At 39.2% G+C, this 17,568-nt stretch overlaps 1 protein-coding gene across 19 annotated transcripts in view, besides 6 other annotated features; it reads right to left on the bottom strand.

Moving 5' to 3' along the window:
- Positions 1,290 to 17,568, bottom strand: part of ARHGEF12 (Rho guanine nucleotide exchange factor 12) — a 153,525-nt gene continuing 137,246 nt past the window's right edge. For all 19 annotated transcript variants that reach the window (NM_015313.3, XM_006718805.4, XM_047426659.1 and 16 more), the window contains 10 exons: positions 16,592 to 16,667; positions 15,720 to 15,887; positions 14,479 to 14,566; positions 13,922 to 14,008; positions 13,701 to 13,780; positions 12,838 to 13,071; positions 10,797 to 11,267; positions 9,651 to 9,967; positions 6,720 to 6,789; positions 1,290 to 6,160 (listed from right to left, as the gene is read on the bottom strand). In NM_015313.3, the coding sequence (NP_056128.1) occupies positions 6,150 to 6,160; positions 6,720 to 6,789; positions 9,651 to 9,967; positions 10,797 to 11,267; positions 12,838 to 13,071; positions 13,701 to 13,780; positions 13,922 to 14,008; positions 14,479 to 14,566; positions 15,720 to 15,887; positions 16,592 to 16,667 (1,602 nt within the window). In that variant the 3' untranslated portion in view covers positions 1,290 to 6,149. The remainder of the gene's footprint in view (positions 6,161 to 6,719; positions 6,790 to 9,650; positions 9,968 to 10,796; positions 11,268 to 12,837; positions 13,072 to 13,700; positions 13,781 to 13,921; positions 14,009 to 14,478; positions 14,567 to 15,719; positions 15,888 to 16,591; positions 16,668 to 17,568) is intronic.
- Positions 5,547 to 5,691: an enhancer, noted in NCBI's record as "145 bp 11:120356317 sequence used in MPRA reporter constructs". NCBI's record gives its function as "activates a minimal TATA-containing promoter with rs11217889 allelic activity by MPRAs in C283T melanocytes {active_cell/tissue: C283T}" and the evidence as "EXISTENCE:reporter gene assay evidence [ECO:0000049][PMID:36423637]".
- Position 5,619: a transcriptional cis regulatory region, noted in NCBI's record as "rs11217889 or 11:120356317 MPRA-significant variant associated with a GWAS melanoma risk locus at 11q23.3". NCBI's record gives its function as "allelic transcriptional activity by MPRAs in C283T melanocytes {active_cell/tissue: C283T}" and the evidence as "EXISTENCE:reporter gene assay evidence [ECO:0000049][PMID:36423637]".
- Positions 11,471 to 11,615: an enhancer, noted in NCBI's record as "145 bp 11:120350393 sequence used in MPRA reporter constructs". NCBI's record gives its function as "activates a minimal TATA-containing promoter with rs12362794 allelic activity by MPRAs in UACC903 melanoma cells {active_cell/tissue: UACC903}" and the evidence as "EXISTENCE:reporter gene assay evidence [ECO:0000049][PMID:36423637]".
- Position 11,543: a transcriptional cis regulatory region, noted in NCBI's record as "rs12362794 or 11:120350393 MPRA-significant variant associated with a GWAS melanoma risk locus at 11q23.3". NCBI's record gives its function as "allelic transcriptional activity by MPRAs in UACC903 melanoma cells {active_cell/tissue: UACC903}" and the evidence as "EXISTENCE:reporter gene assay evidence [ECO:0000049][PMID:36423637]".
- Positions 16,860 to 17,004: an enhancer, noted in NCBI's record as "145 bp 11:120345004 sequence used in MPRA reporter constructs". NCBI's record gives its function as "activates a minimal TATA-containing promoter with rs11217883 allelic activity by MPRAs in C283T melanocytes {active_cell/tissue: C283T}" and the evidence as "EXISTENCE:reporter gene assay evidence [ECO:0000049][PMID:36423637]".
- Position 16,932: a transcriptional cis regulatory region, noted in NCBI's record as "rs11217883 or 11:120345004 MPRA-significant variant associated with a GWAS melanoma risk locus at 11q23.3". NCBI's record gives its function as "allelic transcriptional activity by MPRAs in C283T melanocytes {active_cell/tissue: C283T}" and the evidence as "EXISTENCE:reporter gene assay evidence [ECO:0000049][PMID:36423637]".

The following is a 17,568-nucleotide window of genomic DNA, read 5'->3' as shown; positions in this document are numbered from 1 at the left end:
TCACAAAAGATTGTGCAGAAGCATACATGAGAATCCAGCTGTATTCTATTATGCCAGACATTAAAGAGATCTCAAAAACTACATAAACCTCAATTTTTAATTGTGGAAAATAGTGATCTTTTCATAAAAATGTGATTTATGTTCACATGTATTTGGGTTTACTATTTTTAAATAAATTCATTTTCCTCATTTCTATTTTCTTTTAAATGTCTAATACAGTAACAATTGATAGCTATAATCCACATGAATACAAGCTTCTCCATGAAGTCTTTCATCATTTTTAAGAGTGTCCAGTGGTCCTGGCCAGGTGTGGTGGCTCATACTTGTAATCCCACCACTTTGGGAGGGTGAGGCTTGCTTGAGCCCAGGAGTTTGAAACCAGCCTGGGCAACATGGAGAAATGTCATCTCTACAAAAAATAAAAAAAAATTAGCCAGGCCTGGTGGTTCACACCTTTGATCCCAGATACTTGGGAGGCTGAGGAGGGAGGGTCACTTGAGTCTAGGAGGTTGAGGCGGCATGAGCCACGTTAGTGCCACTGCACTCCAGCCTGGGCGACAGAGCAAGACCCTGTCTCAAACAACAACAACAACAAGAACAACACACAAAAAAAGATATACATTTTTTAAAAAGTGGTCGTGAGATCAAAAAGATTGAAAAGTGTTGCATTATGTCATGCTATTTGCCTTTAATATTTAAAATAATGATAGCAGAAAAAAAGTCTTTGTACAGATGCCTCCCTGAAAGTTTTTAAAAGATTACCAAAATGTATCCTAATTAGTGTTTTTGATTAGCATGTGTTCAGGCAGCCACAACCCTCTGATCACACGTACAAAGAAAAAGATCCCTTAAAATAAAATGCCTTAAATTACAGGTCGGTCCAAAAGCACTCTAATCAATTGAGGGGGAAAATCTAGAAAGAGAGCTCTACATACCTTAAATGATCTCAAACCAAGGCCTCTGCTGATGCTAAGGGAATGATGATGTCTCACTAGTAAAAATAAGTGGCAAAACAAACATATTCCCTGACAGCTAAAGTTGAGGAAGTGTTTCCAATTAGTAACAAGAATTATCCTTGACATTATAGAGAAAATGGGAAACACCTACATCCAGCTACTTATCTCTCATGCTTTATGACATTTGTCATAAAACATCAAGGAGATAACGAGTTCAATTAAAAAGCAACTTTTTAATCAGGATAGATCCTCTTATATTTGAAGTTGGTAATAAACCTTTGGTAAACCAGTCATTTAGCTTGAAAGAGGGCAGTAAAAAATAGAAGTAACTGCTCACATGCAAATACAGAGTTTTATTGTCTCCATTCCTAGGAGGTGGCTATCAAAGAGCAAGTGGGAATGGTACAGGTATTTCTTTGTTCCACCAGATATGTATCTGTATCTGTATCTATATATATAGATATAGATATATGTTTGTAAACAAAGCCAGGCATACAAACAGGTTAATTTCCGCAAAGTACATTTGAATAGTCTTAATCTTTAAAATGTTTAACTAAAAGATGGTATAAACTACTAAGCATTTTATTACGCTTATTAGCTCCGTCAGCCAAATGTGCCCTTGAATGACTGAAAACTAAAATATTATCCCAAGAATAAGTCAAATTACAAGTATTTCAAAACCAAAATACAGCAAATGCCCAAAGTAAGCGAGCCTTCTGAGCTAAAATGCTGTTGGTAAAAGCACAGAAATGTTGGTATGTGAAGAAGCCCAGCACTGGGGACAGGAAAAATAGAGGCATATGCTTCATTTAGGGTAGGATTAAAACCAAAGTTATCTTCAGGTGCGTCATAAAAGCTGGCCTACCTCACTGAACTTTATACTTAAAAATAGTTACAATAGCAAATTTTGTTATATATATATTTCACCACAATTAAAAATCAATAATATACCAAAACCCATCTGATTATACACTTTAAATGGATGAATTATATGATATGTGAATATCTCAATAAAGCTATTAAAAAAACAACAAACCTGCCCCACATGCTAGGGCAAGCCCACCTGCCAGCACTGTCATGAAGGTTTAGCCTTGTTGCTAGGGATGCTCTAATAAGCAGGAAGATGTCTGACAGTCACTGACAGGAAAATTAATTACAGGCTCCTCGACTCCTCAACTTTTCTAATATAACTTGGACAAGACAAATCAACCAGAATACAAATAAAAAGTCACATGCTTGGTTCCTTTAAGCTTATTTAATATTTGAAATCTTATTTTCTATTTTCCCAGACCCCAGAAAACAGAAAGTTTTTAGATGACCAATATTTTGTTCCAGAAACATACAGCCTTATCAGCTAATTCATAAAAGAGCTATTTTACAAAGGTACATCTGGATAATTAGAACAATAAAGTCTTTTAGGCATTTCAAAATGTGATCAGTAAAAATACATGATTATTAATAAAGTTTTTTTAAAGATAGTTCCAGATATTTTTTAAAAGCAATTTCTGTTAAAGAGTACATGATTGTATGGTGAACAAGGAAAATAAAATGTTCTAGTAGGAAGAGGCTTATTAAAAATAACCAACAGTGTGCACATGACAGTTACCATTTTTGGAATATATCTGCTTAGCAGTTGGCACCTGGAAATGGTGGGGAAGGCTTCCTTCTAGGAGGTACTTTTTTTTCCTACCAATTTATTATCAAAACCCTCAATACCAGTGGGGAAGGCATAAGGAATAAGGCAAAAGGAACTCTTTTCTTGAGGAAAGAAAAATTTTGTAGATGACTCTGAAAAGTGGTGGAAATATCAGGAAAAAAATGACTTATAAAACAAAAATTGTAATATAAGGGGGAAAAACTAGCCATGAGGAAGCTGACTGTGAGGCCCTGCTAATTTTGTATTTTGAGGTCCTATGCACGCAGTTCTCAGTGGTGCCCTCTGTGACATATAGGGAAGGAAATACTGACCAAAGCTCTAGTAATTCAAAACCATATATCGACTTCAGAGAAGAAAGCTTCCACTTTGAAATATGGAAGCCCCACGTATTACACCAAATTTACTAACATCAAAGAGGAAAACAAAGATGCCAGTAAAAGACAATTCACAGGAAGCATAATTACTTTCTTTAGCTTCTAAAAATAATTTTTAAATGGACTTCTCTATTATCCCTCCTAACTCAAAATCAAATAAACAACAACAACAACAACTTTTTAAAAAGGGGATTCATCCTTCATTGGCAGTTGCTGTGGGAAAAAAGAAAGCCAAAAAGCTCATAAAATATACCTCCCATGAAATACAATACATAGTTACAATTTCGGTTCTAAAAGCCAATGTAATTCAAGCAGTCCAAGTTAGGTGATTTTAAAGTATGCAAAATATATAGCTTCGAAGGTGGTAATCATGATGTTAAATTACAGCACTTTGGGGGCTTGCTGATTTGCCTTGATTAACTGTTCTCTGAAAAGGAAGGAGACACTCTACATGTAATTTGCCACTTCATAGCAAAGGAACCATTAAGCCCACAGAAGAGAGCACAGTGTCACAGCAGGTCACTTCCATAGCTAAAATGCAGCCTGCTTGCTCTGGGAAGGTAGCTTTCTTTGTACACCACCCCTGTGCCCTTTAGCAGGGAAGTAGATTTCAACTTCTAGTCACGTCACTTAGAAAAAACTCCTCTGATGGTGACCAGTCTCACTCAAAGACAGACTGCATCTAATTCCATCATCCTGAAAGGAAGATGTCACAACCAAAGTCAAACGGATGTGACTATAATGGCCAAAATGAAATGGAACGTGTGGGAGGCCAAGTTGGGAGGGAAAAGAGAAGTTAGGTCGGTAAGATAAAAAGAACATTCAAAAATTGTGAGATATTTTCAGAATTAGACTTCATCTTGGGGCTTTGTTTGAAAATCTAGATATGAATTTATTTGGAAGTACTAGAGCTATGGTCAAAGTATTTTTCCAGTTAGTCCTGTTAGAGTTCCAAGGAGAAATTGAACTGCAGGGAAAGCAAATAATTACTAAGGACAAGACACTGGCTGAACTAGAGAAACTGAAATTTTGCTAACCTACAAGCTTCTTAATTGAGTGCTAGAGAATTACATAATTACCCTGTAGTGTGTGACGTTAAGAGCAAAGTTTTTATATTTACTTTTCTCCTGATTAATTGCCCTCGATGGTGTTAGTGTCAAGTGGCTACAGGTGTAACCCTTTTAATTGAGAATGACATTATTTCTAGCAGCACAATGTAACCATTTGGTTTTTACTTGTTCCTCCTAAGAGATACAGAAAGTTCCAAATCCCAAACTTCATTTATATATTAGCTTCTGCTTCTAAAATTTTTAATCCCATTCTGAGTTAGATTGTACTTGGCTTATGACTAAAAATATAATTTCAATTTATAGATGAGGTCTAAAGATCCAAGTTGATCCACCTAAAAACACAGATCAATTTAGGACAGAAACAGAAATCTGGACATAGATAAATAAACTTGTTAAGTTGCAGTGGTGTTTATAAAAGTAGGTGGGCATCCCTTACCATTTGTGGTGAAAAAATCATCTTTGGACTGCAGGGAAGCATTAAAATTACATCCTAGCAACCCACAGAGTTCAGAGGGCACCAATGAAAGATGTGAGCAACGGATGAACTCCTTGTTTATTAACAGAATTTACAGACTTCATTTTAGTTGGCAAAAATACTTCAAAAAATATATACCTAATGCACAAGGAAAACCAAAGAAAGTCAATATAATTGAAGGAGTTCTCAAATTACAATTCTGAAACTTACCCTCTGTAGGGTGCTGCTAACGCTACTATTCATCCTAGAGCAGGCAGTTACCAACACCTTGCCTGCAGTGTCCAGTGTATGTGCTGGTCTGCAATTTTTAGGGTCAATCACGGCCCCGTGTGGAAAGAGCTGCGGCAGTGAAGTCAGAGGACGTGCTTCTGGAGCTGGTGTGAGCAGTTCTGCCTTCACCATATCTTTTTCCACTCCACCCTTGGCTATCCTTTTGACTCAGGGCCCTTTGGCACCATCAGTGCAAAAATTAGAGTCAAACCTCCAGGTACTAAAATTTTACTGGCCTTATAATCAGCAGTACCTGTGGCTAATGATAGCCATGATTCAACTCAGTAGTGATTCAGTTAGATAACCTTCCCAAACTCTTTACCCACTCCCATCCCACCCTTTCCTTAGCAACCCCCACCCCTGCCACTATCCGAAGCATTTCCATTTGTTTTTACTTCCTGCTCAATCTGCAGGGACAGTTTTACACAAGTGCCAATGTCTAATGTATAATTATAAAAATGAAATGATACCAAGAATAACAAATTTATAGTCAAGAAAATAAAATTTGCTTTCCTCTCCCACCCAAATCCCAACCCTCAATAGAAAAGACGACAATGGAAGAAAACACACCCATTTTCAAGTGCCTGCTATTTAGTATGTTGAGGATTCCTATTAATTGTGGTTGATCCCAGCTACAGAGAAGAGGTGCTTGCCTCAGGGCGGGAGGAAGCCCATCCACTCTCTGACCACACCACCTGGGCACATAAGAGCCACACGGCATAGCATACCTTTGAGGTGACCCTCAGAGAAGCAGCCTACTGGACAGCAGAGAGCTTGGAATACTGTATAGTGAAGCAAGGTGCTCCTCCCTTCCCCGTCTCACTTCCTCCTCTTCTTAACCTCTCTACCCAACTTCTGCATACTCCATCCTGACCTCTTTGCTTCAGGAGCAGTTGATCCTTGGGTGTACTAAAGACAAAGGTCTAAAACTCTCACTACTCAATTAAAACAAAACAAGGCAAATAAAAATTAAAATGTGCTTTCAAATACGGAATGAAGTCAAATAAATACATCTGATTTTCTCTTTTTCTTAAATCTAAGTACAATTTCATATCCTACACCCAAAGCTCTATACATTTGGTTTTTATTCTGAATCAAAATGAATTTCCGATAGTGAGGAGAGTAGAGTGAGGGAATGGATATTCCCTCACAAACAGATTAGTGCAGCTGCCACACTGTGAAGAACTAGTCCCACTCTGGGCACCTTGGGACTTGACTAATCCCAGGTGGTTCACAGGCAGATCCTCTGTCACACTCTCTCTGCATCCACACTGGAGCCAGGATGTGGTGAGACACGGCCGATACTCCAAATCCAACAACCTGCAGTCACCTCCAGGACATGCGGCTCTAACTTTTATCTGAGAAGAATAAAGATACATGGAAATGATATTAAGAAAAAGAATATACTAACATTGCAAAGAATACCCATGACATCTGTGGGCGTGGTTCAATCTTTGTTTCTGAATCAGTATGTAAGCAGATGAGTATAAACTGCTGCAGGGAACACAAATCCATCTGCAGTCAGGGGAGACACCAGCCACACTGTCAGCAGAGGCAAGTGCACCAACATCCAATAAGGCCAAATCCTCCACACTAGGGAGTCACAGCAGTACCAGTAAGCCTCACACCGAATCTGTGATTTACCAGGCTTCCCACTGCTCTGCCTTCTGCTTTGAAAAGGTGAAAAGAGAGAGAAGAGGGGATGGTATGGGAACTGACAACTGCAGTTCCTCTTAGAGAAGAGTAGAGTCAGCAGGCATGAGCTTCCGCTTGATATCTGATGTTTAGAAACAGGCAGTTCTTTAAAGACAGAAGAGAAATGGAATCTCAGAAGGTTTTCACTTCAAAGTATGATAAGTCATTTCATTCAGTGTAGGATGATTAGTCTAGAGTCTGGAACTCATAACTTTTACATACCTGAGTGCTTGTCTGTGAGGGCTGATCCAGCCAGCCTTTGGCAAAGAATGGTGTAACTTTCCTCCACCTTCTGTGAAATAAAACCCATAGGTTTTTTATTCAAACGTAATGAAACAAAACAAAACAAAAACTTCAGAAAACAGAAAAGAAGCCCTTTTTACATTACAGGTACAAGCCCCCAAATTTCAAAAATATTAACTTCATCATTAAAAATTTCATTAGTGGGAAGAAAAAAGTAAATTTCATTCCTTTTACCAATTTCTCCACTGAAGGAATAACTTAGTATTTTCCCATGTAAAAAGAAAGTAGAGGTGGTAACCATAGATGCAATTCTCCCACCCCCAGGAGTCACCCTGGACATGGTCCCGTCATCATGTGCATGAGCTATAGTCATGCAGCACATAAAGACATGGCGGCCTGCATACATGATGATGGTCCCTTAAGATTATTATGGGTGGGGCATGGTGGCTCACGCCTGTAATCCCAGCACTTTGGGAGGCCGAGGCAGGTGGATCACCTGAGGTCAGGAGTTCCAGACCAGCCTGGCCAACATGGTGAAATCCTGTCTCTACTAAAATTATAAAAATTAGCTGGGACTGGGCGCGGTGGCTCACGCCTGTAATCCCAACACTTTGGGAGGCCGAGGCAGGCGGATCACGAGGTCAGGAGATCGAGACCATCCAGGCTAACATGGTGAAACCCCGTCTCTACTAAAAATAAAAAAAATTAGCCGGGCATGGTGGCAGGCGCCTGTAGTCCCAGCTACTGGGGAGGCTGAGGCAGGAGAATGGCGTGAACCTGGGAGGTGGAGCTTGCAGTGAGGAGAGATCATGCCACTGCACTCCAGCCTGGGCGACAGAGCAAGACTCTGTCTCAAAAAATATAAATACATAAATAAATTAAAAGATAGAAAAAAATTAGCTGGGTGTGGTGGCGGGCACCTGTAATCCCAGCTACTCAGGAAGCTGAGGCAGGAGAATCGCTTGAACCCGGGAGGCGGAGGTTGCGGTGAGCCGAGATTGCACCATTGCACTCCAGCCTGGGTGACAGACCGAGACTCCATTTAAAAAAAAAAAAAAATTTATCTGGGCATGGTGGTGGTGCCTGTAGTCCCAGCTCCTTGGGAGGCCAAGGCAGGAGAATCGCTTGAACCTGGGAGGCAGAGGTTGCAGTGAGCCGAAATAGCGCCACTGCACTCCAGCCTGGGTGACAGAGCAAGACTGTCTCAAAAAAAAAAAAAAAAAAAAAAGATTATTATGGAGCACATGTAGAAACCTGGTGTGTGGCACTTAATAATGGCATTGCTGATCAGGTAGGGGAAATGACTAATATTCAGTAATAGTGTTGAGAGATTTGGCTTTCCATATGAAAAAATCTATGTAAATAAAGATATATTCTATCTAGGTTTGTGTAAGTACACTCTGTGAAGTTCACACAAAGATAAAAATGCCTAATGATGAATTTCTCAGAATATATCCCCATTGCTAAGCAACACATGACTGTATATAAGAACCGACCTGTCCTCAATGGGCTTGTCGATATCTCATCAGCTACAGAATGATACTACATAAAATAAGTAACATGAAGAGGGAAAAATCAATTATATGAAGGTAAAAGAGAAACTAAGGGAGACCAGTCTTTAACTCAAAGGCTAAGGATACTTAAATCTACCCCTCAAGTCTCTGGTGTAAATGATGTCATGAGGAAAATGTTTGGGCTCTGGAAGCTGTGTTTTCTGATGGCAAACTTTTTTTTTTTTTTTTGAGACAGAGTCTCGCTCTGTCACCCAGGTTGGAGTGCAGTGGCGTGATCTCAGCTCCCTGCAAGCTCCGCCTCCCAGGTTCATGCCATTCTCCTGCCTCAGCCTCCTGAGTAGCTGGGACTACAGGCGCCCACCACCACACCTGGCTGATTTTTTTTATTTTTAGTAGAGACGGGGTTTCACCGTGTTAGCAAGGATGGTCTCGATCTCCTGACCTCGTGATCCGCCTGCCTTGCCTCCCAAAGTGCTGGAATTACAGGCGTGAGCCACCGTGCCCTGCCTCTGATGGAAAACTTTAAGATAGGTCTTTCTCTTGGAAATTGCCACACAAGTCAGTTTTGCAATAGTGACATCTTCAATTACCAATCTACAAAAATCCCATGCATGACCATGTTTTTAGATTACAGGAGCCACTGAAGCCAATTTCTATCTGTCATAGGATTTGGGAAGCTGCCAATGTCACCTAATGAGTCACAGATAATAGGCTACAGAAAGTCATAGCATTTCTCAGCCTAGATTCATAACTACATAAACCCTACCTATCTCATCTTCTTGTTCATGTCTGACAGAGGCCAGCCAACTACCCGAAGCATTTCAGGTTCTTAAACTTAGACACCCATACAAACACACAGTTCACAGAGCTGCAACTTTTTCTGCTCTTGTGATAGTCAAAAGATAAACAATGCCGACTGGGCGCGGTGGCTCACGCCTGTAATCCCAGTACTTTGGGAGGCCGAGGCAGGCGGATCACGAGGTCAGGAGATCGAGACCATCCTGGCTAACATGGTGAAACCCCGTCTCTATTAAAAATACAAAAAATTAGCTGGGCGTGGGGGCGGGTGCCTGTAGTCCCAGCTGCTTGGGAGGCTGAGGCAGGAGAATGGTGTGAACCTGGAAGGCAGAGCTTGCAGTGAGCTGAGATCACGCCACTGCACTCTAGCCTGGTTGACAGAGCGAGACTCCGTCTCAAAAAAAAAAAAAAAAAGAAAGAAAGAAAAAGATAAACAATGCCAATCTCAACTTTTTACCCAGGCCTATTCATGGATAATAGTCAAAGAAATCTAGAACCTGAACAAGTTTATTGACATCAGCATTTTCATCACCCTATTCTTCCCCTCTGCTAAATGTTTCTTACAACCAAGTCCTATGGATGTGGAAGTATGAGGTACCTTTAAGTGTTCAAGGTCAGCCTCTATCTTATGAATGTACTCCATGATCTGGCTCTGTGAATCTGCACAAGAGGAGGGACTCTGGATCTCAAAACAGGAATACTCCATAGCTCCCCAGCGCTGCTGGACCAGAAATTCGGGGGTGAATGGTGAAATTGCCCCATCGGAGTGAGTATTCTGAGGAGAATGTTGCTGCTGGTGGGTGGATTCCACAGCAGGGATGCCTGTCATGGGCTGCAGGGTAAGTGAGGAAGCAACCTCCTCATCTGTGGAACTCTCCTGCACTGGGTCATAGCCATCAAGGATCAAATAGTTTCCTATGGATAGAGACAGAATAGTTTGATAAGACCAGTGCTGCCATTAGAAAACAGAAATAGCATAGTGTGCTGACAACTTCAACTTGAAAAGTTATTAAGAGAGGGAAAAGCCATTAATTCCTGAGTTTAGTTTCAGGTACATCAGAATTTCCTCACTTCAGATGAAAGCTAAACTCTGCAAACTTTCATGGTAATTTCCAAAAAATTTCATTTCAAAAGTTTAAAGCTGGAAACTACAGTGCCTAAATGATCTTGCTACCACTTCCCCTGCCAAACGCCTCTCTTGCCCCATCTCCTGCCATTGTCTCCCTCATCCAGTGTTCGATCACCACAAAAAGCTTGCTCTTTGACACAAAGCCTCTGCCCCACTCTGCTCTCTGCTGGAATAGTAAGCTCCCAGGTACCCACCCGGCTTTATTCCCTCATTTCATTGAGGTCTCTGCTCAAATGCTACCTCATCGGAGGTCCTAATCCCTGATCACCCTGTTTGCCTTCATTACTCTCCGTCCCCTCAGTCTGACTTATGTTTCTTCCTAATACTTCCTGAAGTCTATTTATTTGTTTACTTATTTACCATCCTTCTTTCCCCTAGCTTCATGAGAAGATGGGATTTTTCTGTGTTTTATTCACTGCTATATCTCCCAGCACCTATGATGAGGTCTGGTACAGAGTAGATTCAGTATTTATCAAATGAAGGAATAAATATTGCACATGTGTGAACACACACACACACACACACCTGGATACCAATACAACATCCATTTCAAAATACAGGACAGTTAACAATGATCAAAATCAAAATCAAAGTTTAAGTGTGAAAGATACTTGCCTGAGATGCGTAAATTAACATCCTTCTCTTCCTTGTTAACTGCTCCATCACCTTCTGATGGATTCTCATCACTATGTGCTTCACGGGCATCAAAAAAGTGCTCTCCACTGTCATCAAGACCCCCTTCTGGCTCCATGGTAGGCATCTCTGGGGTCATAATCATGTGGTCCATTACTAAAATGTTACTTGCCTGGCTATCCTGGGGTGCCAGTCCCACTGAATCCCGTGGAGCAAAAGATTCAGTTGAAGTCCGTGGACTGTAACAAGTTGCAATGTCACCAGTTCCAGTTCTAAAGGGCATATGTCCTTCACCAGAATGATAGGCCTTAATATTTTCAGAGTTCTGGATGACACTGTCTGTCTGCGGCCCCTGAGAGGCTGTTCTGTATCTTGGGAAATGTTGCCAGTCTTCCTGAACGCTCTTCTCAGTCAAACCTAGCTGTTGCACCAGCAACTGCTTCAACAAACCCACTAAACGATTTAGGAAGGAGGGGGAAAAAAAACATATTCACAACTATAACCTCAGGCTGCAAGAATTAAATTAGCTGACTTACCAATGATCTATCTTTAAAAAGTATCTTTTAATGACATATTAAAATGTTAATTATTAATTTCATACAATCATCTTACTTCATACAATCATTTTCCATTTTGTTTTGAAGATGAAATAAAGCACCATCTTTTAGAGAAGATTTAACGTTAAACTAAACTTGAAAAGATCTAAGCATTCTGAATAGGGAGATACTACTATTTAGAACTCCTCAATAACCAATATCATGCCTCTATTTTTTCTTCTATATAACTAGAATAATACCCTAAAGGTACTTCTTAAGAATGTTGAAAGGCTGTGTTAAGCTAGACAGAAAAAGCTAAAAAAAAGTTCTGCTTTTTCCAGATCCAGACACTATATGCATATTATTTCCTCTAATTTTATGAGATACATACATTTACTGAAAATAAGAACCAATTTAATTTTGAATGGGCCAAGTGTATGCTATGAGGTCACCCAGACAATGATAGAGTTATTGGGACAATGTTATTCCAACCATCAGAAATTATTAAGACTGTTAATTCAGGAGAAGGTATAAAAAATATTGTAGGTTTTAAATAACCAATTCTCTGCTCTCATCACTAGCTTAATGTCTGTCATGTTTCTTTAGGCAACAGGTTCCACTTAGGTCTCTCATCCTCTGTCCTTCTGCTCTACAATCACTTCCTGAGAGATGCCAGGAAGTCTCATGGCTCTGATGCTCACATCTCTATCTCTTCCTAACCTCTCTCTAAAGTTTCACTCCTAAAACTCTAACTTCCTGCTAGTTACTCACTTTTTAGTGTTTTGTCATTCATTATCTTAATCTTGACATGCTTTAAAACTGAGCCTATAATTCTACCAAATCAAAAGAAAGAAAAAAGAAAGTACAATGGAAGGAGGTGGGGGAAGCAGTGGTAGTCCTTTTCTGACTCTTATTTCTGACTAGATTAATGAAATTATCTCTAAATATTCCCTTTCCTTTGACCTCACATTCAAAGAAGTCAATTATTTTAAGCATTTGATGACTTCTCAGTTTCTTCTTATTCCTTCTGATAACATTCTAGTCCAAACTCTTTTAGTCTCAGGCCAGACTATTATAATAGCTTATTTAGTAAGTACACCATTCCATACCTCTTTCCATTCAAATCCTTCCACCGCTTTCAGCCAGATTAATCTTTTTTCATACCTTTAGTCATACGCTGGTTTAAAAATTTCAAGTGGTTCTCCCCAGCCAAAGAAATTGTTCTCAGCCTTTTTCCCACCTCAATACAACTGAGAGATATGCTATCCTCCCATTTTAACAGTGATTCTGAACCAGGCAGGGGGGTGGGGAGCTAACAGAGTGGCATGTGTGTGTGTGCCTGTGGCATGGGCCACTGTAGAGAATACTATAATCTCCACAATAGAACTAGAAGAATAAGTGGAGTTTGATAAATCCACATACTTTAGGGATGGCACATGAGTGTCATACTTAGTAAGTATCTGTAATAAGTTATGAATAAAACTTACAATTTCTTAGTGCATCCAATGCCCACCGTTCTTCTGAGACAGGCAGGTGTGAATCTGGGATTGCGATTTGATAATCTTCTCCAACTTCCTTTAGTGTCCCATCTGTATGTTGTTCCTTTGCAAACTGTCTCTCAGCCACAAACAGATCACGTACCTCTGATTTCCCAGAGGTACTCAGTGAATGAGACTGAGGTTTTGACGATATTAAGGTAGATTCTAATCCCAAATCTCTGTCTGTCCAATGGAATAGAAAAGGTAGACTATATCTAAACAAAGCTTTTAACTTTTAACATGAAGCATTCAGGGAAGAATCAGAAAAAAAAAAAACAATCCATAAACTACAGAGATCATCTGTTAAGAAAAATACACATCACTTAGAACAGTGTTATACTGACACACAGAAGGCTCAAAGGCAAAGTTTGTTAAACTGAATCTCTGATGCTGGAACCTGCATAAACCAAACAGTATTAAAGTTTCTTTGCATTTTATTTTATTTTCTTTTTTTTCTTTTTTTCTTTTTTTTTTTTGGTGTTTCGGTCTTGTTGCCCAGGCTGGAGTGCAATGGCACGATCTCGGCTCACCGTAACCTCCGCCTCCTGGGTTCAAGCAATTCTCCCTGCCTCAGCCTCCCAAGTAGCTGGGATTACAGGCACCTACCACCATGCCCGGCTAATTTTTGTATTTTTTAGTAGAGACAGGGTTTTGTCATGTTGGTCAGGTTGGCCTCTAACTCCTGGCCTCAGGTGATACGCCTATCTCGACCTCCCAAAGCACTGGGATTACAGGCATGAGCCACCACATCCGGCCAGCATTTTAACAGATAATAGAGCACATTCTCCATTGAACTCTTCAGAAGAGTGTACCTGGACTCTGCAAACCAGTGACTGAAATGCCATGCTGCTCCTCTTTTAATTTTGAAGGATCTTCTTCATCATTATCTCCTCTGTAGAGAAAAAAAAAAAAAAAAAAACTTTTACCTTCCTGAGGTATCTAAACATCATCGCAACAAAACATAATAATTATCCTAGTCTTTTCCAACCCAAAACATAAAATAAGTCCTACTACAATGCAAAGGAACACTCACTCGCCAGGTGTTGACTGTGGTAATGGAATTGGCTTTGTGGATTGCTCCTTCACTGATGCAGCCATCCGACAGATTAGGTCCTGCCAGCTTCAGAAAGTTGGAAAGAAATCCAAAATACAAAAAAGAAAAAAGAAATATCCTTTAAATATACTCAGAAAGCAAAACTAAACAAAAACCAAATCAACCAACAACAACAACAACAACAACAACAACAACAACAACAAAACCCACTCTGCCAGAGAATATCTTTATTTTGGCAACACACTATTAAGGCGAGAGTCCAAAACTATACCTTAAGAGAAATCTATGGACACATTAAAAAAACTTCACTTGACATTTTGCACAATTTTTTCTTTAGGAAATAAACTTTCAGAATAGAATCAAAATAAAAGGCATCAACCTAAAAAAGAACAAGTTCATAGTAGAACGTCTCTAAAAGAGTACAGAGGAAGTGCTTGGTTTCCATACATTATAAAAACAAAGTTAAGTTTATGGAATATTACGCTTGGGATAATGAAAATATTAGCTATAGCAAGGTAGCCATATCTGATACATACACAGTCTTTTCAGAAACTGTCTGTGCCACCAGTTCATAAATCTGAGCGCCATTGTCTGACATGGAAATGACGAATAAAGCTTTGTTATCTGGAAAAAACAATACAAGATTACTCTAATACTATGACCTGGGGAGGCCATGAGGGATGTTTTTAGGGTCTTGAAATAGTCTGCCCCTTAAACTAGATAAAGGTTACATATATTTACTTTAAAATTCATCAAGATGTACACTTAAAATTTGTGCAACTTACCATATTAACGTATTTATTGTACTATATTTATTGTACTTCAATAAAACAAAGATTATACGAATTAGCACTAATTCCACAATAATTTACTAGAAACTTTGCTAAAAGCATGTCAAAAATCCAAATTACTGGCCGGGCACGGTGGCTCACACCTGTAATCCCAGTACTTTAGGAGGCCGAGGCAGGTGGACCGCTTGGAGCTCAGGAGTTCGAGACCAGCCTGGGCAGCATGGCGAAACCCTGCCTCTACATAAAACAAAAAAATTAGCCAGGTCATGGTGGTGCATGCCTGTAGTCCCAGCTACTCAGGAGGCTGAGGTTGAAGAATTGCTTGAGCCTGGGATGTGGAGGTTGCAGTGTGCCAAGGTTGTACCACTGCACTCCAGCCTGGGTGACAGGGTGGGACCCTCGTCTCAAAAGAAAAAAAATAAATAAATCCAAATTACCAGATTAAATGCTATTACTCTTTTGCATTTATTTTGAACTGCACTTTTGCTAAGTTGTTAGTTAATAATATTCAGTGAGTAGTGGAGAAAAGAGGTCACAAATTTATTTTGCCACCATGAAACTAACAAGTTTTAAAAGGGACCCCGTTGTTAATAGAGTTAAAATATAACTTGCCAGTCAAATTTGATTTTTAATCAACACTACATCCGTCTCTTTGGTTTTTGATTTTTTTCTCACCAAATCAAAAAACATACCACCCTAAATGAAAGGCTTTTCATTGGGATCTATCAATGATTTGAACATAAAGAACCAAAGTAATAGCATAAAAATTTTCAAATGCAGAAAACTGTTCACAGAATCGAGACACCCTAATAACTTTGGGGTATAAACTCTTAGGTCTCTTTCTAAGCAGTAAATTTCATGTAATTTGCTTAAGAATATAAAAATAGCAAGACTCTATGCCACTTGTGTTATTGAGACAGCACCGAGTATCTTATGCAACTTCACAATGAATCTGGAAATTAGTATCCTTCAGTGGACATACTTGCCTGTTGCCACTTGTCGAACCAACACTGTACTCAACTTAATGACAGGGCTAAACGTGTGTTTGCTATCAGCTGTAGATGCCAGAATCTTACTATGACACCTTAAAACCAGTCTATCATCCTGCTTTTGTAACAATACAAGAATGTCTTCCAGCAGCAACGTGTATAAATCTAGAAATAAAAGTGCAGAAAAAAATGGTAAGTACAGAAATGGAGACGCGTTTGATTAACTTTATAATGATTCAACAGAGGAATTCTATTTCTGTTAAAGCTACAAAATTTTAAAAATTGACTTGTATATTATCTTTTAAAATTTCATTTTCAGTAATTCATTTTTATTTTATTTCACTGAAGTGTCAGTCTGTGACCAATAGGAAATAAAAAACAACAAGCTGGGTGTGGTGCTGTGCGCCTATAGTCCCGGCTACTAGGGAGGCTAAGGCAGGAGGATCCCTTAAGCCCAGGAGTTCGAGGCAGCAGTGCACCATGACTGCATCTGTGACTAGCCACTGTGCTCCAGCCTGGGCAACATAGAAAGACCTTGTTTCTGAAAAAACAAAAACGGTTCCTCATCACAGACAGTTTAAGATGTACTGGTCTAAAGAAAGCTTACAAAGCATACAAAGACTCACTAGACTATAAGAATGATGGAAATAGGACTAAATCAGTTCTCCACTACATTCCTAAATGAATATTTAACACATCTTACATATAATGAAATAACACAAGCAGATCTACAAATGTACAAATAACACGAGGTAGCACTGCAAACTGCTGAGAGAATGGTTCTCTCCTCTTCCCTTTGTCATAGGAAACTTTCCTATTCCTTCCCTTTTGCCACTCTCCCCAAAACTAAAAGACAATATCAGACCTACCAATAGTTTTATCTCTATTCACCTTCCAAACCAATGGCCCTTCATGAATCATCTTCCTTTTTGTTAAATCCAAATTCTGGCAAAATAAAGAAAATCATGCACAAATAATTTCCAAGCACTCAGTAACATGATTATCTATATAATACAGTCTCTTTTAAAGAAATTCTTAATATAAAATACACCATTTACATTCAACTATCATTATTGCTATTTGTCAGTTCTTGAAAATGGCACAAAAGCCATATTAAAGTAATCTGCATACAATTTTCTAAAAAGGAAAAGGTATCTTGCAGAAGAACATTCAGGAGTACTATCTTCAAACCTCACTCTAAACAGATGATAACAGATTATGAAGATCAAGTTACAAACATTCAGTCACTAGATTCTCAACGTATCCTTTAATTTTCCTATGAATAACTGGATGAGCATGGTACATATGCTTGTCTATAAGAAAGTGGCTTCTGAGTTCCAAGGCTCTAATTTCAAAGAAAGTTCTAAGAAATAGTACTCATGAAAAGTCCAGGTACTACTCAGACTTGGTCTAAATATTAACAACTTATTAGTAAGAGAATCATCTTTTAGTATTAGCAGCTCTAGAAAACTCTCATTCTTTGGAAGCTAAGGGGAATAAGCACATTTACGTGCTTGTTGACGAAGTATTAATATATGACATAAAAGTCTATTTTAACAGCCACCAAATAAATCTGCCAAAACCACCACCTAGTGAAATGGTACAAAAACACTTAAAATCCGAAAAAGTTAACACATAAGCCCACATACTAGAAGTGGCAATTAGTAAACATTTTACTATCGTTCCTGTAATGGTTCCAACTTTTATGCTTCTGAAGAGCCTCATGAGAAAATAGTATGCTATCTTGTGTTATTAAATGATCTGGAAAGTTACCAAACAGTCCTACCCTTATTTAAACTACAGAACACAGGCTGGGCATAGTGGCTCATGCCTGTAATCCCTGCAC

Source organism: Homo sapiens, chromosome 11, assembly GCF_000001405.40.
Source record: "Homo sapiens chromosome 11, GRCh38.p14 Primary Assembly".
NCBI lineage: Eukaryota > Metazoa > Chordata > Mammalia > Primates > Hominidae > Homo > Homo sapiens.
This window is presented reverse-complemented; position numbering and strand designations above follow the sequence as displayed.